Genomic DNA, 17,646 nt, shown 5'->3' with positions numbered 1-17,646 from the left:
CTAAAAAAGTTAAAACATATACCCCCCCAACTCCTTTCTCAAGTTTTTCAAACTGTGGCAAATGTCCTTTTCACTAAGGATACAACTTGTAATAGTATTATTTCTGTAAATGGCAATGATGATAATAATACTTAAAAAAATCAAACAGCCAAGAGTCATGACAATACATCACCTGAGAAATACCCATAGCACTATTACACTGATAGTCCCCAAACTTGGCCTGCTGACTTGGTGTCACTAGCAGAGGAGGATTTTCCAAATCTGGATATGCAGCCTTAATTGCATGACCAAAGACCTCTTGTAGGCGGCTAATAATGTTAATCATATTTTTAGTTGGTTTGTTCCTTTCTGCCTGAAGACTCTGTAGGAAAAGAATGGAAACATGTCAATAATGTACGTAAAACCATCATCATACAAGATGTCTCCAAATATTTTGAGTATAAACCTCCAAATATCTTAAGAACCAAAAGGGAAAACGTACTTATGGTGTGATGCCCTCAATCTGGGATTTGCTAAGACATGCAGCAGGACAAGTCCATCCCACGGCATCTAAGACATCCATGGGAAATGCCCTGAGGTCTTACTTTTTGCATTTGTTTTAGCAGAACAGAAACTGGGAGGAGGGAGTTAAAAGAGCTGATGGAATCCTTTTCTCAGCTTCTCCAAATCTCTGAGAAAATAATTTATTTCACATCAAATATTGGAAGTGAAAACTCAATGGACAAAAAACAAACAAAAAAATACATGATGTCCATCAAAATGTTGACCTCTTCAAGGCATGAAATAAAAGGGAGCAAAGCAGGTAATATTAATATACCAGAAAAGCCAGTAGTTTTGTTTTACTGTTATGAGACCTACTACCTCCTGTTTTCCCATGGAATATAGTCATTTAAGATGGCATATAATTATCTCTATTACTGCACTTATCATACCCTCACAAAACTATCTGTCTCTACCACTAGACTGCTGGATGCACACAAAGTGCTTAATTCATGGCTCTCTTCCCTGTCCCTGGCATCTAGCACTGTACTTGCCATACAGCAGTTTAGCAAAAAAAAAAAAAAAAAAAAAAAGGTGAATGACACATATGCTTTTAATAGAAGATAAACATGCTGCCTATACACCTTTATGTTTGTCAATTTTATGTTCATCAACATGTTCATCACAATTTTATGTTCATCACAAATTTATATTCATCAAAATGTCAACAGTATAAAATAATGACAATAACAAAAGTTAATACTTGAGTATGCAAAGATTTGAACCAAATGCTTTATTTATATGCATTATCTTATTCCATCTACATAATAAAATCGAGCTTGTTACTATTATCACTATTTCTATGTGGGCTACAGATAAGTCACTTGTCAAAGACAAGACAGAATAAGTGGAAAAGGCCAGATTCAAACTCAGGTCTATTGGAATGGACAGTCCAAGTTTTATGCTCCCCTCATCAGCCCTCTCTATCATATGAAGAAATTATATTCTTAAATTCACTAAAAAACCTGATTTCAAGTTTGTAGCTAATCAATAATTGACTCCTCTCTGTGGTAACATACTTAAAACAAGGAAGATACATTTTTCCCAATCTAAAGATTTCCAACAGCAAATGCCAAATTTACTTGGATATGATCCTTTTCTCTTCTTTGTTGGGGGTAACAGACAAGATCTCACTGTGCACTCTGCTGAGGCTAAAGTGCAGTGGCATGACAGCTCACTGTAACCTTGAACTCCTGGGTTCAAGACATCCTCCTGCCTTGGCCTCCCAAAGCATTGAGATTACAGGCATGAGCCACCACACTTGGCCTAGATTATGATCTTATACCCAAAACCTGCTATAATAAATGTCAATTTTTTGTTTATTTTTATGTATTTATTTTTTTGGGACCGGGTCTTGCTCTGTTGCCCAGGCTGGAGTGCAGTGGCACGATTTTGGCTCACTGCAACCTCTGCCTCCTGGGTTTAAGTGATTCTCATGCCTCAGCCTCCCAAGTAGCTGGGATTACAGGCCCATGCCACCATCCCTGGCTAATTTTTGTATTTTTAGTAGAGACAGGGTTTTGCCATGTTGGCTGGGCTGGTCTCGAACTCCTGACTCCAGGTAATTCACCTGCCTCGGCCTCCCAAACAGCTGAGATTACAGGTGTGAGCCACTGCGCCCAACCTCAATTTTTTATTTTTAAAGGATAGGAGTACCACCATGTACATATGTATGTGTGTGTACCTACACACACGAAATCTACTGTGCTTAGTTTTGGCACTATGAAAATTACTATCTGATTATAATCAATTCAACAAGTTGTCTCTACCAGTTTCATATGTGATGCTTTCAAGTCAGAGCATGTGGCCAAAGTGAACCAGGGAAAAACGACAGGGTGAATGGCCATCACACACAGTACTTTATTACTCTGTGGTTTTTAGTTCTGCTGTGTACCTTGTGTTCAGCTGCTCATTCAGTAGGGCAAAGTATTTGTCAAAGAACCAATATGCCTCCCACAATACAGTGAGAGCATTCTCCTAGCTATATAAGAGCTAATCTGCATTACAGAAAAATGTGTAGTAAAATATGCTGTACTTCCATCCCAGCTACTTGGGAGGCTGAGGTGGGAGGATTACTTGAGGCGAGGAGTTCGACAAAATACTGTACTTCCTTTTGTATCTTTTCCCTTATAGTCTCTAGCACATATTAGACATTTAATAATACTTTTGAATTAAAATAAATATAACAGAGAATTAAACATATATAAGTGTAGAATGAATGACATAACGAGAAAGGTGAGATTCTTTTGGGAAGATTCTATGGAAAAGGAATTTTGTGATTCTAGAAGACTCAAAGACAAGCACAGCAGATCACATATAGGTAATATGAGACTCGAGCATAGCAGATCACAAATAGGAAATATGGACACCGGGCACGGTGGCTCACGCCTGTAATCCCAGCACTTTGGGAAGGCGAGACAGGCAGATCACCTGAGGTCAGGAGTTCCAGACCAGCCTGACCAACATGGAGAAACCTCGTCTCTACTAAAAATACAAAATTAACCAGGTGTGGTGGTGCATGCCTGTAATCCCAGCTACTGGGGAGGCTGAGGCAGGAGAATTGCTTGAACCTGGGAGGTGGAGGTTATTGTGAGCTGAGATTGTGCCATTGCAATCCAGCCTGAGCAACAAGAGTGAGACTCCGTCTCAAAAAAAAAAAAAAAAAAAGATAATATGAGAGATGTCATGGGAGTGGGGAAGATAGAGTCTAAGGTGAGTAAATGGATCAATCAGCTTTGGGAAAAGGATGTAATGCCTGCAGAGTTTGTCTGACAGTAATATATACACACAGGAGAATAATTATGGGAATGAGGTCAACACTCTGGGATATGTCATCACCAAATACGAAAGGCAGGCCAAAAAACTGCAGCAAGTTCATTTTTTTAAAACAAAATTGGTAAAACACTGTTAAATCATGAGACCATTAAATAAACATAGCACAAGCTTCATGGGGAAAAAAAGTGTTTTGAAATACCAGGTGGAAAAAACCCCAAATGATTATGTAAGATATAAAACTGTAAAATAACCAACTTAGGGCAGAGAAAATATGCAGGTGTATTTTCAAATATTTCCTTTATGATAGAGGCAATGATTTAAAAATCAAACATGTTTTTTTAAAAAAGGCATGGGCATAAACTGTTGAAAGAAATGCCTCAACCTTGCTGGGTGCAGTAGGTTATACTTGTAATTCCAACACTTTGGGAGGCCAAGACAGGGAGGGTTGCTTGAAGCCAGGAATTCCGAGGCCAGCCTGGCCAACACAGCAAGACCCCATCTCTATTAAAAAAAAAAAATTAGCTGGATGTGGTGGCACACGCCTGTAGTCCCAGCCACTCAGGAGGCTGTGGTGGGATGACTGCTTGAGCCTGAAGGTTGAGGCTGTACTGAGCCGTGATGATGCCACCACACTCTGGCCTGAGTGACAGACACCCTGTCTCAAAAAATAATAAATAAATTTTTAAAAAGAAATGCCTCAACCCTACCTAAATCCTACTTTAAGTTAGCCAAACAGTTAGCAGGATGAAACATTTCAAAGAGTCCTGAAGGACAGGACAACACCAACTTGTCACTATTTGCACCAACTACCTCAGTCCTAAGTTGTCTAATGCAGGGAAAAGAATAGGGTTTCTATGCTTCTTTTCCAAATTCCATAGGATATACTTCCAGAATCTTTGGTAACAAAGGCTTTAAAAAAGCTATAATGATTCAAACTGGAGAATAAAACTGGAACCCAAAGTACTCACCTTTCGAAGAATATTCAGTCGATACTTTAATTTTAAATTTTCTTCTTGTAACTGCTCCAAATTTGGAGAAGCTCCTAAACAGCCACAGTTTTTCAACCGGTCAATTTCAGCAGTCAGAGATTTAATCTCTTCTTCCTGTGGGAAAAAAAGCACTTTTTTCAGTCCATAAACTTACTTCCACATTTCCCCTCTCTACCAAGGCGTGGCATAGACCATGGGAATCATTAATGTTCCCTTTGATGAGCTGTGTTTCTTTCTCCTCTGAGATTTTTGCTGACGTTAGCATATTATCCTTAATAAGAAAATATTGGCCAGGCATGGTGGCTCACGCCTGTAATCCCAGCACTTTGGGAGGCCTAGGCAGGTGGATGACTTGAGGCCAAGAGTTCAAGACCAGCATGGCAAACATAGCGAAACGCTGTCTCTACTAAAAATACAAAAATTAGCTAGGCATGGTGGCGCATGCCTGTAATCCTAGCTACTTGGGAGGCTGAGGCAGGAGAATTGCCTGAATCCCAGAGGCTGAGGTTGCGGTGAGTCGAGATCGTGCCACTGCACTCCAGTCTGCTTGACAGAGCGAGACTCTGTTTCAAAAAAAAAGAAAAAGAAAAAGAATATATTAACCACACATACATGTGTTTTGGGAGACAGGAATCGGAGTAAGTATATAATGGGATATGCCTCATGTCTCATATCCCTAGTTCTTTTCTTTGGCTCGATAAACACTCTGATTTAGCAAGAGTAGTTAAGTTTCAGGTTGACCAACCTGCTTTTATTCCCAAATCCTATGACCTGGGACTCTTAAAAAACCCAAATGTCCTTTGTCACATTCAAAATAGCTCAAGGGTCTGCCTTTCACCCTTTCTGGGACTAAACAATTTTCCCATTTCTTCCTGTTTCCAGTGTCTTAGGTCCTAGACTAGACCAGACCAGGCTTTGTAGTTTAACATCTAAAACTAAAGACATGTCAATTCAGAAAGAAATAAAGCTTCCAACTTAAACTGCAAAACTCAGGGGGAGTTCCTCACCTGAAATTTCAGAATACTTACTGGGAGATAGCTACAGCCAAAACCAAATTGCCAAAAATGAGCATACATTATGTTCCAGGAGCTGAGCTAAAAACACTTTTCAGAAATTACCTTCATGATTATCACAACCAAGTGAGGCAAAGATAAATACATACCGATAAATAAATGGCTCAGAAATGTAAAGAGCTTGCCAATTTACTTGACTAACTTGTACTTTGTGACTGCTGATTAAGTATACAGCCGTAACAGGACAGAGTACTGTGAACTATCTTCCTACCATCCCTCCCCACCTGGGCATAAAAGGTAATGGAACTGTTCCGCTTTCACTTTTTTTTTTTGTAGGGGGACGGAGTCTCACTCTGTCGCCCAGGCTGTGGTGCAGTGGTGTGCTCTCTGCTCACTGCAAGCTCCGCCTCCCGGGTTCACGCCATTCTCCTGCCTCAGCCTCCCGAGTAGCTAGGAATACAGGGACCCCCCCCAACACAGCCGGTTAAGTTTTTTTGTATTTTCAGTAGAGACGGAGTTTCACTGTGTTAGCCAGGATGGTCTCGATCTCCTGACATCGTGATCCGCCCACCTCGGCCTCCCAAAGTGCTGGGATTACAGGCATGAGCCACCGCGCCCGGCCGCTTTCACTTTTATATGGTGTGGCTGCTCCTTCCCGACGAATGCTGAGGGCACAGAGCAAGCTCCGCTGGTCTGATAATGAATCACCCCATGGGCTTATTAGGAATCCTCTCGCTCAGTAACCCGGGAAGAACTGCGGCTGAGCTGCAAACCAAGACCCAGAGCTCTGAATGTATTCCCCCCTTGTCTATCTCCCCGCATCCCCTAAATCGCGTGTGTATGCAGAAGAGGAGGTGGATTGTAGGGAGAGAACTGTTCTGAACATGCCAGGCTCCAGCCCACCGAAGACGCTGGTTTGGGGGAGGCCTGGGAGAGGGTGGGGACCCTCCATTCCGCTGAAAATCACAGTCACACGGGCTTTGAAATGATGGGTGCTTCCTCTCTCAACCCTTCCTGTTCCCACAGGGACCGTGCCGCTCCACTCTGAGAGGACCAGGATGGTCCTCGCCTAGCTGTCCCGCCCCCGAAGCCGCTTGGGCAGGAGTCAGAGCCTGCTCCATCTCTTTCAGGCCTTCCCGCCGGTCTCCTGCGTCCAAACCTGCTGCAGCAGCCGCGCGGAGCACTCAGACACCAGTACGTCCATCCTCCCATCAGCGTCTCACTCGCCAAGTGGACGGAAGCGGAAACGGTCAGCCTCTCCCGGAAGCGGAAACCCCCTCCGGTCCGCTGTCCCGTCGGACTGGGTGCTGGCGCCTCTGCTGCCTCCTGGCGGGATCCAGTAGACACTGCGAGGAGAACCCGCGGGGATTTCGGTCAGGAGCGAGGCCGCAACTCAGGGACGTTTGGGCGAGGGGAGAGGAATTGAGCAGACACTAACCAGAGCTGCTCTGTGCTTGGATAGACTAGGACAGTCACTGACCTAGAGCTTCTGGCTCTCAAAGGCCTCACTTTGCCCCTTTGTGAAATGGGCACAAAACTAACAAATCCATTCATTTATTCAACAAACATTTATTGTGTACTTTAAAATGCCAGACAGTATTCTAGGCTCTGGGGGCACAAAGAAAACAAAACAGACACGATCTCCCCTCTCACGGCAGACACATTTTAGAATGGAGAGAGAAAATAGACCAAAAAAGGCAATAATCTCAGGTAGTTTTAATTGCTAGGAAGGCAATGTGATAGAGTGACTTGGGTGAGAGAAGACATCTCTAAGCAAGTGACATTTGAGTTAAAATCTTATTTATTTTTCCAGTTTTATTGAGGTATAATTGACAAAGATTGTATATCATAACGATGTACAACGTAATGTTTTGATATATGTATACATTCTGAAATGATTACCACAACCAAAATAATTAACATAACCTTCATCTCATACAGTTATCATTTGCATGTGTGTGTGTGTGTGTGTGTGCGCGCGCGCGCGCGCGCGTGTGTGCTGTGAACATTTAAGATCTATTCTCATCCTGGGAAACAGCTAAGACCTCGTCTCTACAAAAAAATGGAAAAATAGCCGGGCATGGTGGCATGTGCCTGTAGTCCCTGGTATATAGGAGGCTGAGGTGGGAGGATCACTTGAGCCCAAGAATTTGAGGCTGCGGTGAGCCATGATCATGCCACTGTACTCTGCCTGGATGACAGAGTGAGACCTTTTCTCTCTCTATTTAAAAACAAACAAAACGAAACGAAAACGAAAACTGCAAGTATACAATATACATTACATCTCTAGAATCTATTCATCCCGCCTAACTGAAACTTTGTAACTTTGAGCAACATCTCCCATCTTTCCTACCTCTGAAGCCCTGACAACCACCATTCTATGCTCTGCTTCTATGAATCTGAATTTTTTAGATTACACATATACATGGGCTAATGTAGTATTTGTCTTTCTGTGCCCGGCTTATTGCACCAACATAATGTTCTCCAGGTTCATCTATGTTGTCACCCATAACAGGGTTTTCTTTTATAAGGCTGAATAATATTTCATTGTATATATATTGAGTTAAAATTATAAACAGCAAACCTGGGATATATGTTCTAAGAGGGCAGGGACCTTAATTATCTTGTTCACTCTTCTCTATGACTCCAGAACTTAGAAAGTAGCACTCTAAACGTTTTCGCTTCCGTGCCTCATAAAAGTATTTTAAAAATTCATATCCCAGTGTATACTTTTAAAAGTTGACATCGAGCTAGGCACAGTGGCTCATGTCTGTAATCCTAGCACTTTGGGAGGCTGAGGCAGGCAGATTTCTTGAGCCCAGGAGTCCAAGACCAGCCTGGAAAAAATGGTGAAACATCGTCTCTACCAAAAATACAAAACATTAGCCAGGCATGGTGGTGTGCACCTGTAGTCCCAGCTATATAGGAGACTTAGGAGGCAGGATTGTTTAAACCCAAGAGTTTGAGGTTGCAGTGAGCCATGATCTGGCCACTGCACTCCAGCCTGGGCAACGGAGTGAGACTCTGTCTCAAAAAAAAAAAAAAAAAAAAAAAAAAGACATCTAAAAACTCTTTTCACAACTTCTGGGAATGGATTATTTTCTGGCATGATGTTTCATAAGTGCTCTCACTATATTTTCGTCAAAACTGTGGATTTGCAAGTTTAGCTTGTCCAATTTATGGAACATGTCGGCCATATTGTTTCATTGGCAAAGCCAGTCCTCTTTGTCCAATTAAATAATCCAAATTATTTTACTTAATTTTTAACAAGCTTAAAGTTTGCCTTTATCTTTTTTCCTTTTAAATTAATTAATTAATTTTACCCAGAACTATATAAACTATCCTTTATTTTGTAAATCAAATAAAAGTGTTAATATACCAGTCCTTCCTTATCCGTGGGAGATACATTGCAACACCCCTCAGTGGATGCCTGAAACCGTGAATAGTACCAAGCCCTATATATATACTATGTTTTTTCAATCCAGTAATTCAGAGGGCTAATAAGTGACTAATGGGTGGGTAGTGTAGACAGCATGAATTTGTTGGGCAAGGGGGGATTCATATCCTGGGCAAGACAGAATGGGACGGTGGAGATTTCATCATGCTACCAAGAAATGGCATGCATTTTAAGACCTATGAATTGGTTATTTCTGAATTGGTTATTTAAGCCTATGAATTGGTAATTTTCCACTTAATATCTTGAGCACATAAGTAGGGGGGACTACTGTGCATGTTCCTGAAATGGCATTTGCAAAATTATGACAGTAAGAGAAATTTGACATCTTGCTTCACAGGCTGTCTGTCTTTGCTCATTTCTGGGCATGGGCCAAGCTAACTTTGTGGAAAATTTAGTTTATAGTTGAAATGATATTAGCCCTTCCCCAAAATCAAAGTGTTCTTGTAAAACTAATGCAAGGCAACTAAACTATGAGAATGAGAGGGACTTGAATTCTAAATAATTGTCAGCCATTATTCTGGAGGTCAGATTTGCAACTTCTGCAATAACTCTTGCAGATAACATTACTATTGTAGAACCTAAGATTGGCCTTTTGAGATGTCTTTTCAGGTTTGTGCATTTCTGACAACCGGGTGGCCCCACCTGGACCCACCAGTCAGTCCTGTGGCCCCTACCCAGGAACTGACTCAGCACAAGAGGACAGCTTCGATTTCTTATGATTTCATCTCCAACTCAACCAGTTAGCATGTTCCCTACCCTACCCCACTGCCCAGCAAACTATATTTGAAAAACCCCTAACCTAGGAGCCTTCAGGGAGATTGATTTGAGTAATAACTCCGTCTCTTACACTGTGTGGCCAGACTTGTGTCAATTAAACTTTCTTTATTGCAATGCCATGGTGCCCATGAGTCAATTTTGTTGTGCAGCAGGCAGGAAGAATCCACTGGGTGGTTACATCACTCTGATACCTTATTTCTAAGTTCTGAGAAAGATGGAGGGAGGGATGGACAAGCTGGTGGATAGACAAAGGGATAGGCAGATAGATCTCTATCTTCAAGATAAAGGAGGAAATAAAAACAGTCAATCATTTTACTAAGCCCTCTTTGTTTAGCGCTCAAGGATATGCCCTGTGGAAAAATAGGTTCTTCAATGAGAACACTTGGACACAGGAAGGGGAACATCACCCACCGGGGCCTGTTGTGGGGTGGGGGGAGGGGGGAGGGATAGCATTAGGAGATATACCTAATGTAAATGACGAGTTAATGGGTGCAGCACACCAACATGGCACATGTATACATATGTAACAAACCTGCACGTTGCGCACATGTACCCTAGAACTTAAAGTATAATAAAAAAATATATCTATATATATATATAAAGAAAGTGTTTTCAAAAAGAAAAGGAAAAATATGTTCTAGAAGTGTCCCTTGTTCAATTCCTGTTAGTTTACACCCAGGCAATGTGGAGTCCTAATTTAGGGAGGGGGAGTTGGGCTGGTAAGGATGAAGGAAAGCAAAAAGAAAAGGCAGGTAAGCTATAAGTCTACCTTTCTTCGTGGTTCAGGATACATAGTCCTCCTGTGCAAATTACTCACCATCTTCCTGCACCCAGCTATTACCAGACACCTCAGCTGATAGAAAAATGCAAGTTAGCTCACTGCAACCTCAGCACTATCAGTACTGCACAAAGCCCTCTTAACACACAGCCCAAGCACCATTCTGTCAAATCCCGAGCAAACGTTTGTTTCCTGGCAGTCAGCTCCTCTCTTGCTGATTTGCTTGTTGCACCCTTGCAACATACTTTCCTGCTTTGTCTAATAAATCTGCCTTTCTTTACCTACAACTGTATTGATGAATTCTTTTTACCACCTGCGTGACACGGGCCCCAGAGAGTCGCTACCCACGACAGGCAATGGAAAAGGGTGCTATGCTTTTCTTTGTGGAAGGGGAGATGTAAAAGGAGAATTGGAAAACTGAGTTTGCAGGCCAATCAATTTTAGAAAAGAGTATACAAAAATTCAGGATTTCCCTAGTATATCTGGGCCCACAGATCCCTTTGAAGGGTCTTCCCAACTGTGCTATATGCACCTCAGGGTACAGGACTTCCAAATCTCCCAACCAAAAAAAGGGGGGAATTGGGTACTAGCCCAGGTGGAGAGACTGGCAAAAGTGAGAGCATATAGGAATTTGTAAGTTGTACAGGACTTCCTGTACCCCGAGGTACGTATAGCCCAGCTGGGAAGACTGTTCATCTTGTTGACCTAAAGGAAGAAACTGAAGCAAAATTAATATAAGTAGAGAGTCTATTTGGGCCAGGGTTGAGGTCTACAGCCTGGGAGTCATGGATTCAAGTTGCCCTGAATATATGCTCCGATTAGCAGCCGTTACAAGTGGATTAAAGATTAAAAAAAAGATGAAAAAGTTAGGATGCAGTTCCTAAGCTGCTTACCAAGAATTTACAATGGTTCATTAAAATAAGCTATCATTTGTCTATACATTGATCTTTGTACCACAAACCCCAGGAACGTGAAGATAATAGGTGAGGGTCACATTGTGTAACTTGTGGTAACATTGTGGGTAATTTATCAGCTAGTCTGAAATTACAGAAAACGAAAGAGAAAACAAAATGCCTCTAAGCAATTACCCCCAGGCATGGGTGCCGAGGATGTGACAGGTGTCTCCTGCTCCTGTCTGGGCCTAACCAATTTTGCATATCTCACATTCCTCAGACTGCTCTGAGCCACTTTCTCAATGTAGAGCAGTGCTTGACACAGGGCATTGCTCTAAAAGTGTTTCTTAATTGAATGAGTAGGAAGGTTCTATGCAGTGAGACTAGCAAATGCAAATGAGGCAGGAGCTAAGTTTAGAGTATGGTCGATGATGGACTGCTCATGTGATGATGGTACCATAAGATTATAATGAACCTGAAAAATTTCTATCACCTAGCGACAACCTTGATGAGTCTGACCCTGTGTAGGCCTAGGTTAATGTGTATGTTTGTGTCTTAGTTTTTAACAAAAGAGTTGTAAAAGTGGGAAAAAACCTCTAGAATAAGGCTATAAAAATGTTTTTGTACCTTTGTACGTTGTTTTGTTTTAAACAACTGTTATTATAAAAGAGGCAAAAAATTAAAAAATTAAAATGTTTATAAAGTAAAAATGTTACAGTAAGCTAAGGGTAATTTATTACTGACGAAAGAACATTTTTAATTTTTTATTTCTATTTTTGTAGAGATGGGAATCTCGCCATTTTCCCAGGTTGGTCTTGAACTCCTGGGCTTAAGGGATCTTCCTGCCTCTTCTGGGTTTACAGGCGTGAGCCAACATGGCTGGCCAAAATTTTTAAAGTAAATTTAGTGTAGCCTAAGTGTACAATGTTTAAAGTCTACAGTAATGGACAGTAATATCCTAGGCCTTCACATTCACTCACCACTCACCCACTGATTCACTCAGAGAAATTTCCAGTTTTGCAAGTTCCATTGATGGAAAGCCCCTATACAGGTGTTCTTTTTTTAATCCTTTTTTTTTTTTTTAATTATTGTTTTGAGATGGAGTCTCGCTCTGTCACCCAGGCTGGAGTGCAGTAGCGCCATCTTGGCTCACTCCAACCTCCACCTCCCTGGTTCAAGTGATTCTCCTGCCTCAGCCTCCTGAGTAGTTGGGATTACAGGCATGCACCACCATGCCCGGCTCATTTTTTGTAATTTTAGTAGAGACAGGGTTTCGCTATGTTGGCCAGACTGGTCTTGAACTCCTGACCTCAGGTGATCCACCCGCCTCAGCTTCCCAAAGTGCTGGGATTACAGGCGTGAGCCACTTCACCTGGCCCTATTTTTTATCTTTCATTCCCTAATTTTACTGTACCTTTTCTATGTTTAGAAACACAAATACGTCCATTGCATTACAGTTGGCATTACAGTATTCAGGACAGTAATGTGCCATACAGGTTTGGAGCCTAGGAGCAATAGGCTACACCATATAGCCTGTGTGTGGAGTAGGCTCTACCATCCAGGTTTGTGCAAGTACACTCTCTGATGCTCACACAACAAAATTGCCTAATAGCACATTTCTCAGAATCTGTCCCCATCGTTAAGTGATACATTACCGCATTTGAAAAAAAAAAGGCCGGGCGCGGTGGCTCACGCCTGTAATCCTAGTACTCTGGAAGGCCGAGGCGGGAGGATCACGAGGTCAGGAGATCGAGACCATCCTGGCTAACACGGTGAAACCTGTCTCTAGTAAAAATACAAAAAATTAGCCGGGCGTGGTGGTGGGTGCCTGTAGTCCCAGCTACTCAGGAAGCTGAGGCAGGAGAATGGCGTGAATCCGGGAGGTGGAGGTTGCTGTGAGCCGAGATCGTGCCACTGCACTCCAGCCTGGGTGACAGAGCAAGACTCTGTCTCAAAAAAAAAAAAAAAAAAGGAGGGGGGGATTGGGTACTGGCCCAGATGCAGAGATTGGCAAAAGTGAGAGCATATAAGAATTTGTAAGTTGTTGGGGCTCGGAAACCGATACCCCAAAATATGGTGCTTTGACATACTGAAGCGAAGAACACTCAAGGTTTCTCTGACCTTCTCCCTCACCCCATCTTTCCCAAAGAAGTTACAGTTTCTTTATCTGCCTGAGATCCAGACACACTAAGTAAGGCACATCAAGGACGACTCTTTTTTCTTCCCTTTCCTGTAAAACCAACAGTGTAGCCACACTTGAACAGACCTTTTCACAAGATAATGTACACGTTAATATCTGTTCCCTAATCCATCCATTCTCCCTAAAAATCCCCTCAACAGAACTCCTCTTCCCCCACTCCCATAATCTGTTTTGCCAGGATGACATATACACTTAGGCACCACCTTGCGGGGTGAGCAATTAATTACTCAGTGGTTGCACTGAGTAATACACAGCAAATTTGTAAATACCCTGTGTATATACCCTGTGAATATACAGCAAATAAACTTGTATGCCTTTTTACCCACTAATCTGCCTTTTGCAAGTTGATTTTCCAGTGAAACTTCAGGAGGCCAAGGGGAAAGCTTTCCCTTTCCCTTTACCCACGTAAAGTCAAGGCAGGGGTTTTTTATTTTATTCTATGCACAATGGGAACCATTAGAGGGTTTGGATGAGTAGATGGGTGGTGAATTTTTGTTGGGTGGTGTTGGCTGGGCACGGTGGCTCACGCCTGTAATCCCAGCACTTTGGGAGGCTGAGGCGAGCGGATCACGAGGTCAGGAGGTCGAGACCATCCTGGCTAACACGGTGAAACCCCGTCTCTACTAAAAATACAAAAAATTAGCCGGGCGTGATGGCGGGCGCCTGTAGTCCCAGCTACTTGGGAGGCTGAGGCAGGAGAATGGCGTGAACCCGGGAGGCGGAGCTTGCAGTGAGCTGAGATTGCTCCACTGCACTCCAGCCTGGGTGACAGAGCGAGACTGCGTCTTAAAAAAAAAAGAAGGGTGGTGTTATGGGCTGAAATGTATTCCCCCAAAGTTCTTAAAGTCCTAACGCCCAATATCTCAGAATGTGACTATTTGGAAATAGGGTCTTTAAAGAAGTAATAAGTTAAAATGAGGTCAAGAGGGCCAGGCAAAGTGGCTCATTCCTATAATCCCAGCACTTTGGGAGGCCAAAGTGGGCAGATCAACTGAGGTCAAGAGTTTGAGACCAGTCTGGTCAACATGGCAAAACCCCATCTCTACTAAAAATACAAAAATTAGCTGGGTGTGGTGGCATGCACCTGTAATCCCATCTACTCAGGAGGCTAAGGCAGGAGAATCACTTGAACCTGGGAGGCAGAGGTTGTGGCGAGCTGAGATCGCGCCACTGCACTCCAGCCTGGGTGATGGAGAGAGGCTCCATCTCAAAAAAAAAAAAAAAAAAAAAGAGGTCATGAGGATGGGCCCTAACTCAACATGACTGGTGTCCTCATAAGAGGAGATTAGGACGCAGATACAGACACACACAGAGGTAAGACCATGTGAACACACAGGGAGAAAGTGGCCAAGGAAAGAGTCCTCTGAAGACACTGACCCTACCTGCCAGGACCTTGATCTCAGAATTCCAAGAAGTTCAGGTCAGCAATGATAAATCAAAATGGTAGCAGAAAAAAAAATGGATAGATTTATGATATATTTTAGAGACAGAATTGGCAGAACTTGCTGGTGGATTAGGAGTCTAAAAATGAGGACATGGGTTAAGAGTGTCAAGTGGCTGGGCATGGTGGGTCACGCCTGTAATCCCAGCACTTTGGGAGGCAGAGGTGGGCAAATCATGAGGTCAGAAGTTCGAGACCAGCCTGGCCAACATGGTGAAATCCCATCTCTACCAAAAATACAAAAATTAGCCGGGAGTGGTGGCGGGTACCTGTAATCCCAGCTGCTCAGGAGGCTGAGGCAGGAGAATCACTTGAACCCAGAGGTGGAGGTTGCAGTGGGCTGAGATCGCACCACTGCACGCCAGCCTGGGCAACAGAGTGAGACTGTCTTAAAAAAAAAAAAAAAGAGTCAAGAGAAGAATGATGAGGTTCATAAATTTGGAGAGGACAGCTTTATTTCACATAAAGAGTTGCATGCTGCAGGTGGCCACTCTGACAGGCTGGAAAGTGTAGCCTCCAGCCAGTAGCTGAAAACATGCACTTTGAGGGAAGGGCAGAGGAAAAAAGAATGTGTGCTGAGCAGGTGGCCAAATATATATATTTAATAAGCTGTAGGAGGGGTCACTAATATCTATGAAAGGAGAAACGTGTGCCTGCGCAACTGAGCTTCATGCCCCTTCATGGGACCCCTGTACAAAACATGGTGTCCTTACCATGATCTGAGGGTGGAGCTTCTGGGCCTCTGATGTCAAAAGGCGAAGGGGAGGATATGAAAACCCTCCCTGCACATCCGTTGTAAACTGGCCAGAACCATTCAGTGGTGGGTGGCCTCTTATCAGGAAGGAATGCATGTTGGTTGTTGTGGTGAAATGGCAAAAGGGAGGGGGAGTTGGTGGAAATCAGCGGTGAAGCCAGGCTTTCCAAAGGTCTGGTTTCTGTTTAGATTTTAGGAAAGAATGCCTACTGGAAGCTAGGGAGGGCGGGGGTATAAGGAGGTGTGTCCCACCTCCAGATGCCGTCCCGGGCTCTCCTTGGCCAACAGGATAGGACATCCATTCAGTCCGTCATGGGGCTTAGGATTTTGGTTTTACTTCTCAAGAGAAAATGAACTGACTAGGAAGAAATGAAAAAAGCTATGGGGAGGGAAAGAATGACTGGAACCTTAAATTTTCCTTCTAGTGGTAAAGTTTTAATGACCCAGCTCTGATCACACACTACTTGTTTCCATAGGGAATAATGTTGATTTCCCCATCAATCTGTAAATGCTGTTTACTAGTTTTTAACTTTCTAAATCAACTCACAGCAGAGGAAGCTTTAGGATTACATGATTACAGAGCAGTGCGTAAATGTGATACCCTTTTTTAAACTATATAAAAATAATAATGTAACTAAGAAAAATTAGAAGTTGTGGCTGGGAAGGAGAAAGGGTAAGTATGTGCCATAATGTCCTCATCTTTATGGTGATGAGTGGAGAGGTCTTACTGAAGATGATGAATAAAAATAATACAGGCCATTTTTATTTTATTTTATTTATTTTTGAGACAGAGTCTCACTCTATCGCCCAGAGGTGGAGTGCAGTGGCACAATCTTGGTTCACTGCAACCTCCGCCTCCCAGGTTCAAGCAATTCTCCTGCCTCAGCTTCCCAAGTAGCTGGAACCACAGGCCCACACCACCCCGCCTGGCTAATTTTTGTATTTTTAGTAGAGAAGGGGTTTCACCATATTGGCCAGGCTGGTCTCAAACTCCTGACCTCAGGTGATCCACCTGCCTTGGCCTCCCAAAGTGCTAGGATCACAGGCATGAGCCACCGTGCCTGGCCTACTGAGCATTATTTTATTTTTAAATTTTATTTATTTATTTTTTTAGAGACAGAGTCTCGCTCTGTCACCCAGGCTGGAGTGCAGCGGCATGATCTCGGCTCACTGCAACCTCTGCCTCATGGGTTCAAGCAATTCTCCTGCCTCAGCCAAACGAGTAGCTGGGACTACAGGCGCATGCCGCCACACCCGGCTAATTTCTTCTGTATTTTAGTAGAGACAGGGGTTTCACTGTGTTGCCCAGGTTGGTCTTGAACTCCTGAGCTCAGGCAACCTGCCCGCCTCGACCTTCCAAAGTGCTAGGATTACGGGAGTGAGTCACTGCACCTGGCCCAGACCATTGTTAAAAAGTGGAAACCACCAGATAAACTACTGTGAGTGGTAGATTGCAGAGGGTGGGGGTGTCTTTTATTGTATATCTCATACCCTTCTACAGAATTGTGAGAATTTTTTTTTTTTACTGTATTGCCAAAGGATGAATTATAGCCAATTTAAAGATCTCAGTTGGCTTTATTGCAATTCTACAATTGGGCAATGCTTCGGTCCATGAAATAGAATCAGTGTTCCAAAGCGCTGAGCAGAATAGGCTGGCTTCATAGAGAAGGCCTGAAGGAAGCAGAAGCTAAGAACAGGATGTATTAGTCCTTTCAAAGTTACTTTTCTCATAAGATAGGGACATAATAGAATAATAGAAAAATAACTGCGTAGTTAACGACAGTTTCCTTCAGGCTACCTTTTTGCCTGTAAGGATTAAGGCAGAGGGAACTTCTTCATGACTGAAGGACTGAAGGCTTCAAAGGACCTGTCTGGGAAATTGGGTGTTCTCTCTCTCCCGATTTCCCTGAAGGTCAGGTAACTTAGTTTAGGTTTGGTGACATGAAACTTGAGCATGGGTGACTCCATTCTGATTTTTAGTCTGGTCTGTTGGGGCCTGGTGCAGGAGCTTAGTCCAAAACCATGGCCT

The 17,646-nt window shown here is 43.0% G+C and overlaps 1 protein-coding gene across 1 annotated transcript in view, besides 2 other annotated features; it reads right to left on the bottom strand.

Annotated features, from left to right (window-relative positions):
- RARS1 (arginyl-tRNA synthetase 1) overlaps positions 1 to 6,549 on the bottom strand; it is a 32,831-nt gene extending 26,282 nt beyond the window's left edge. The window contains exons 1-3 of the mRNA NM_002887.4: positions 6,477 to 6,549; positions 4,284 to 4,418; positions 173 to 361 (exon numbers count right to left, since the gene is read on the bottom strand). Of these exons, the coding sequence (NP_002878.2) occupies positions 173 to 361; positions 4,284 to 4,418; positions 6,477 to 6,521 (369 nt within the window). The 5' untranslated portion in view covers positions 6,522 to 6,549. The remainder of the gene's footprint in view (positions 1 to 172; positions 362 to 4,283; positions 4,419 to 6,476) is intronic.
- Positions 1,851 to 2,020: an enhancer, noted in NCBI's record as "experimental_83610 CRE fragment used in MPRA reporter constructs". NCBI's record gives its function as "activates a minimal promoter by MPRAs in K562 erythroleukemia cells, with activity observed for both the introgressed and non-introgressed 5:167918090 variant alleles {active_cell/tissue: K562}" and the evidence as "EXISTENCE:reporter gene assay evidence [ECO:0000049][PMID:34662402]".
- Positions 11,290 to 11,399: an enhancer, noted in NCBI's record as "active region_23590". NCBI's record gives its function as "activates an Ori minimal core promoter by ATAC-STARR-seq in GM12878 lymphoblastoid cells {active_cell/tissue: GM12878}" and the evidence as "EXISTENCE:reporter gene assay evidence [ECO:0000049][PMID:35858748]".

This window comes from Homo sapiens, chromosome 5 (genome assembly GCF_000001405.40).
Source record: "Homo sapiens chromosome 5, GRCh38.p14 Primary Assembly".
Taxonomy (NCBI): Eukaryota; Metazoa; Chordata; class Mammalia; order Primates; family Hominidae; genus Homo; species Homo sapiens.
Note: the sequence above shows the minus strand (reverse complement) of the source record. Positions and strands in the feature narration are given on the sequence as shown.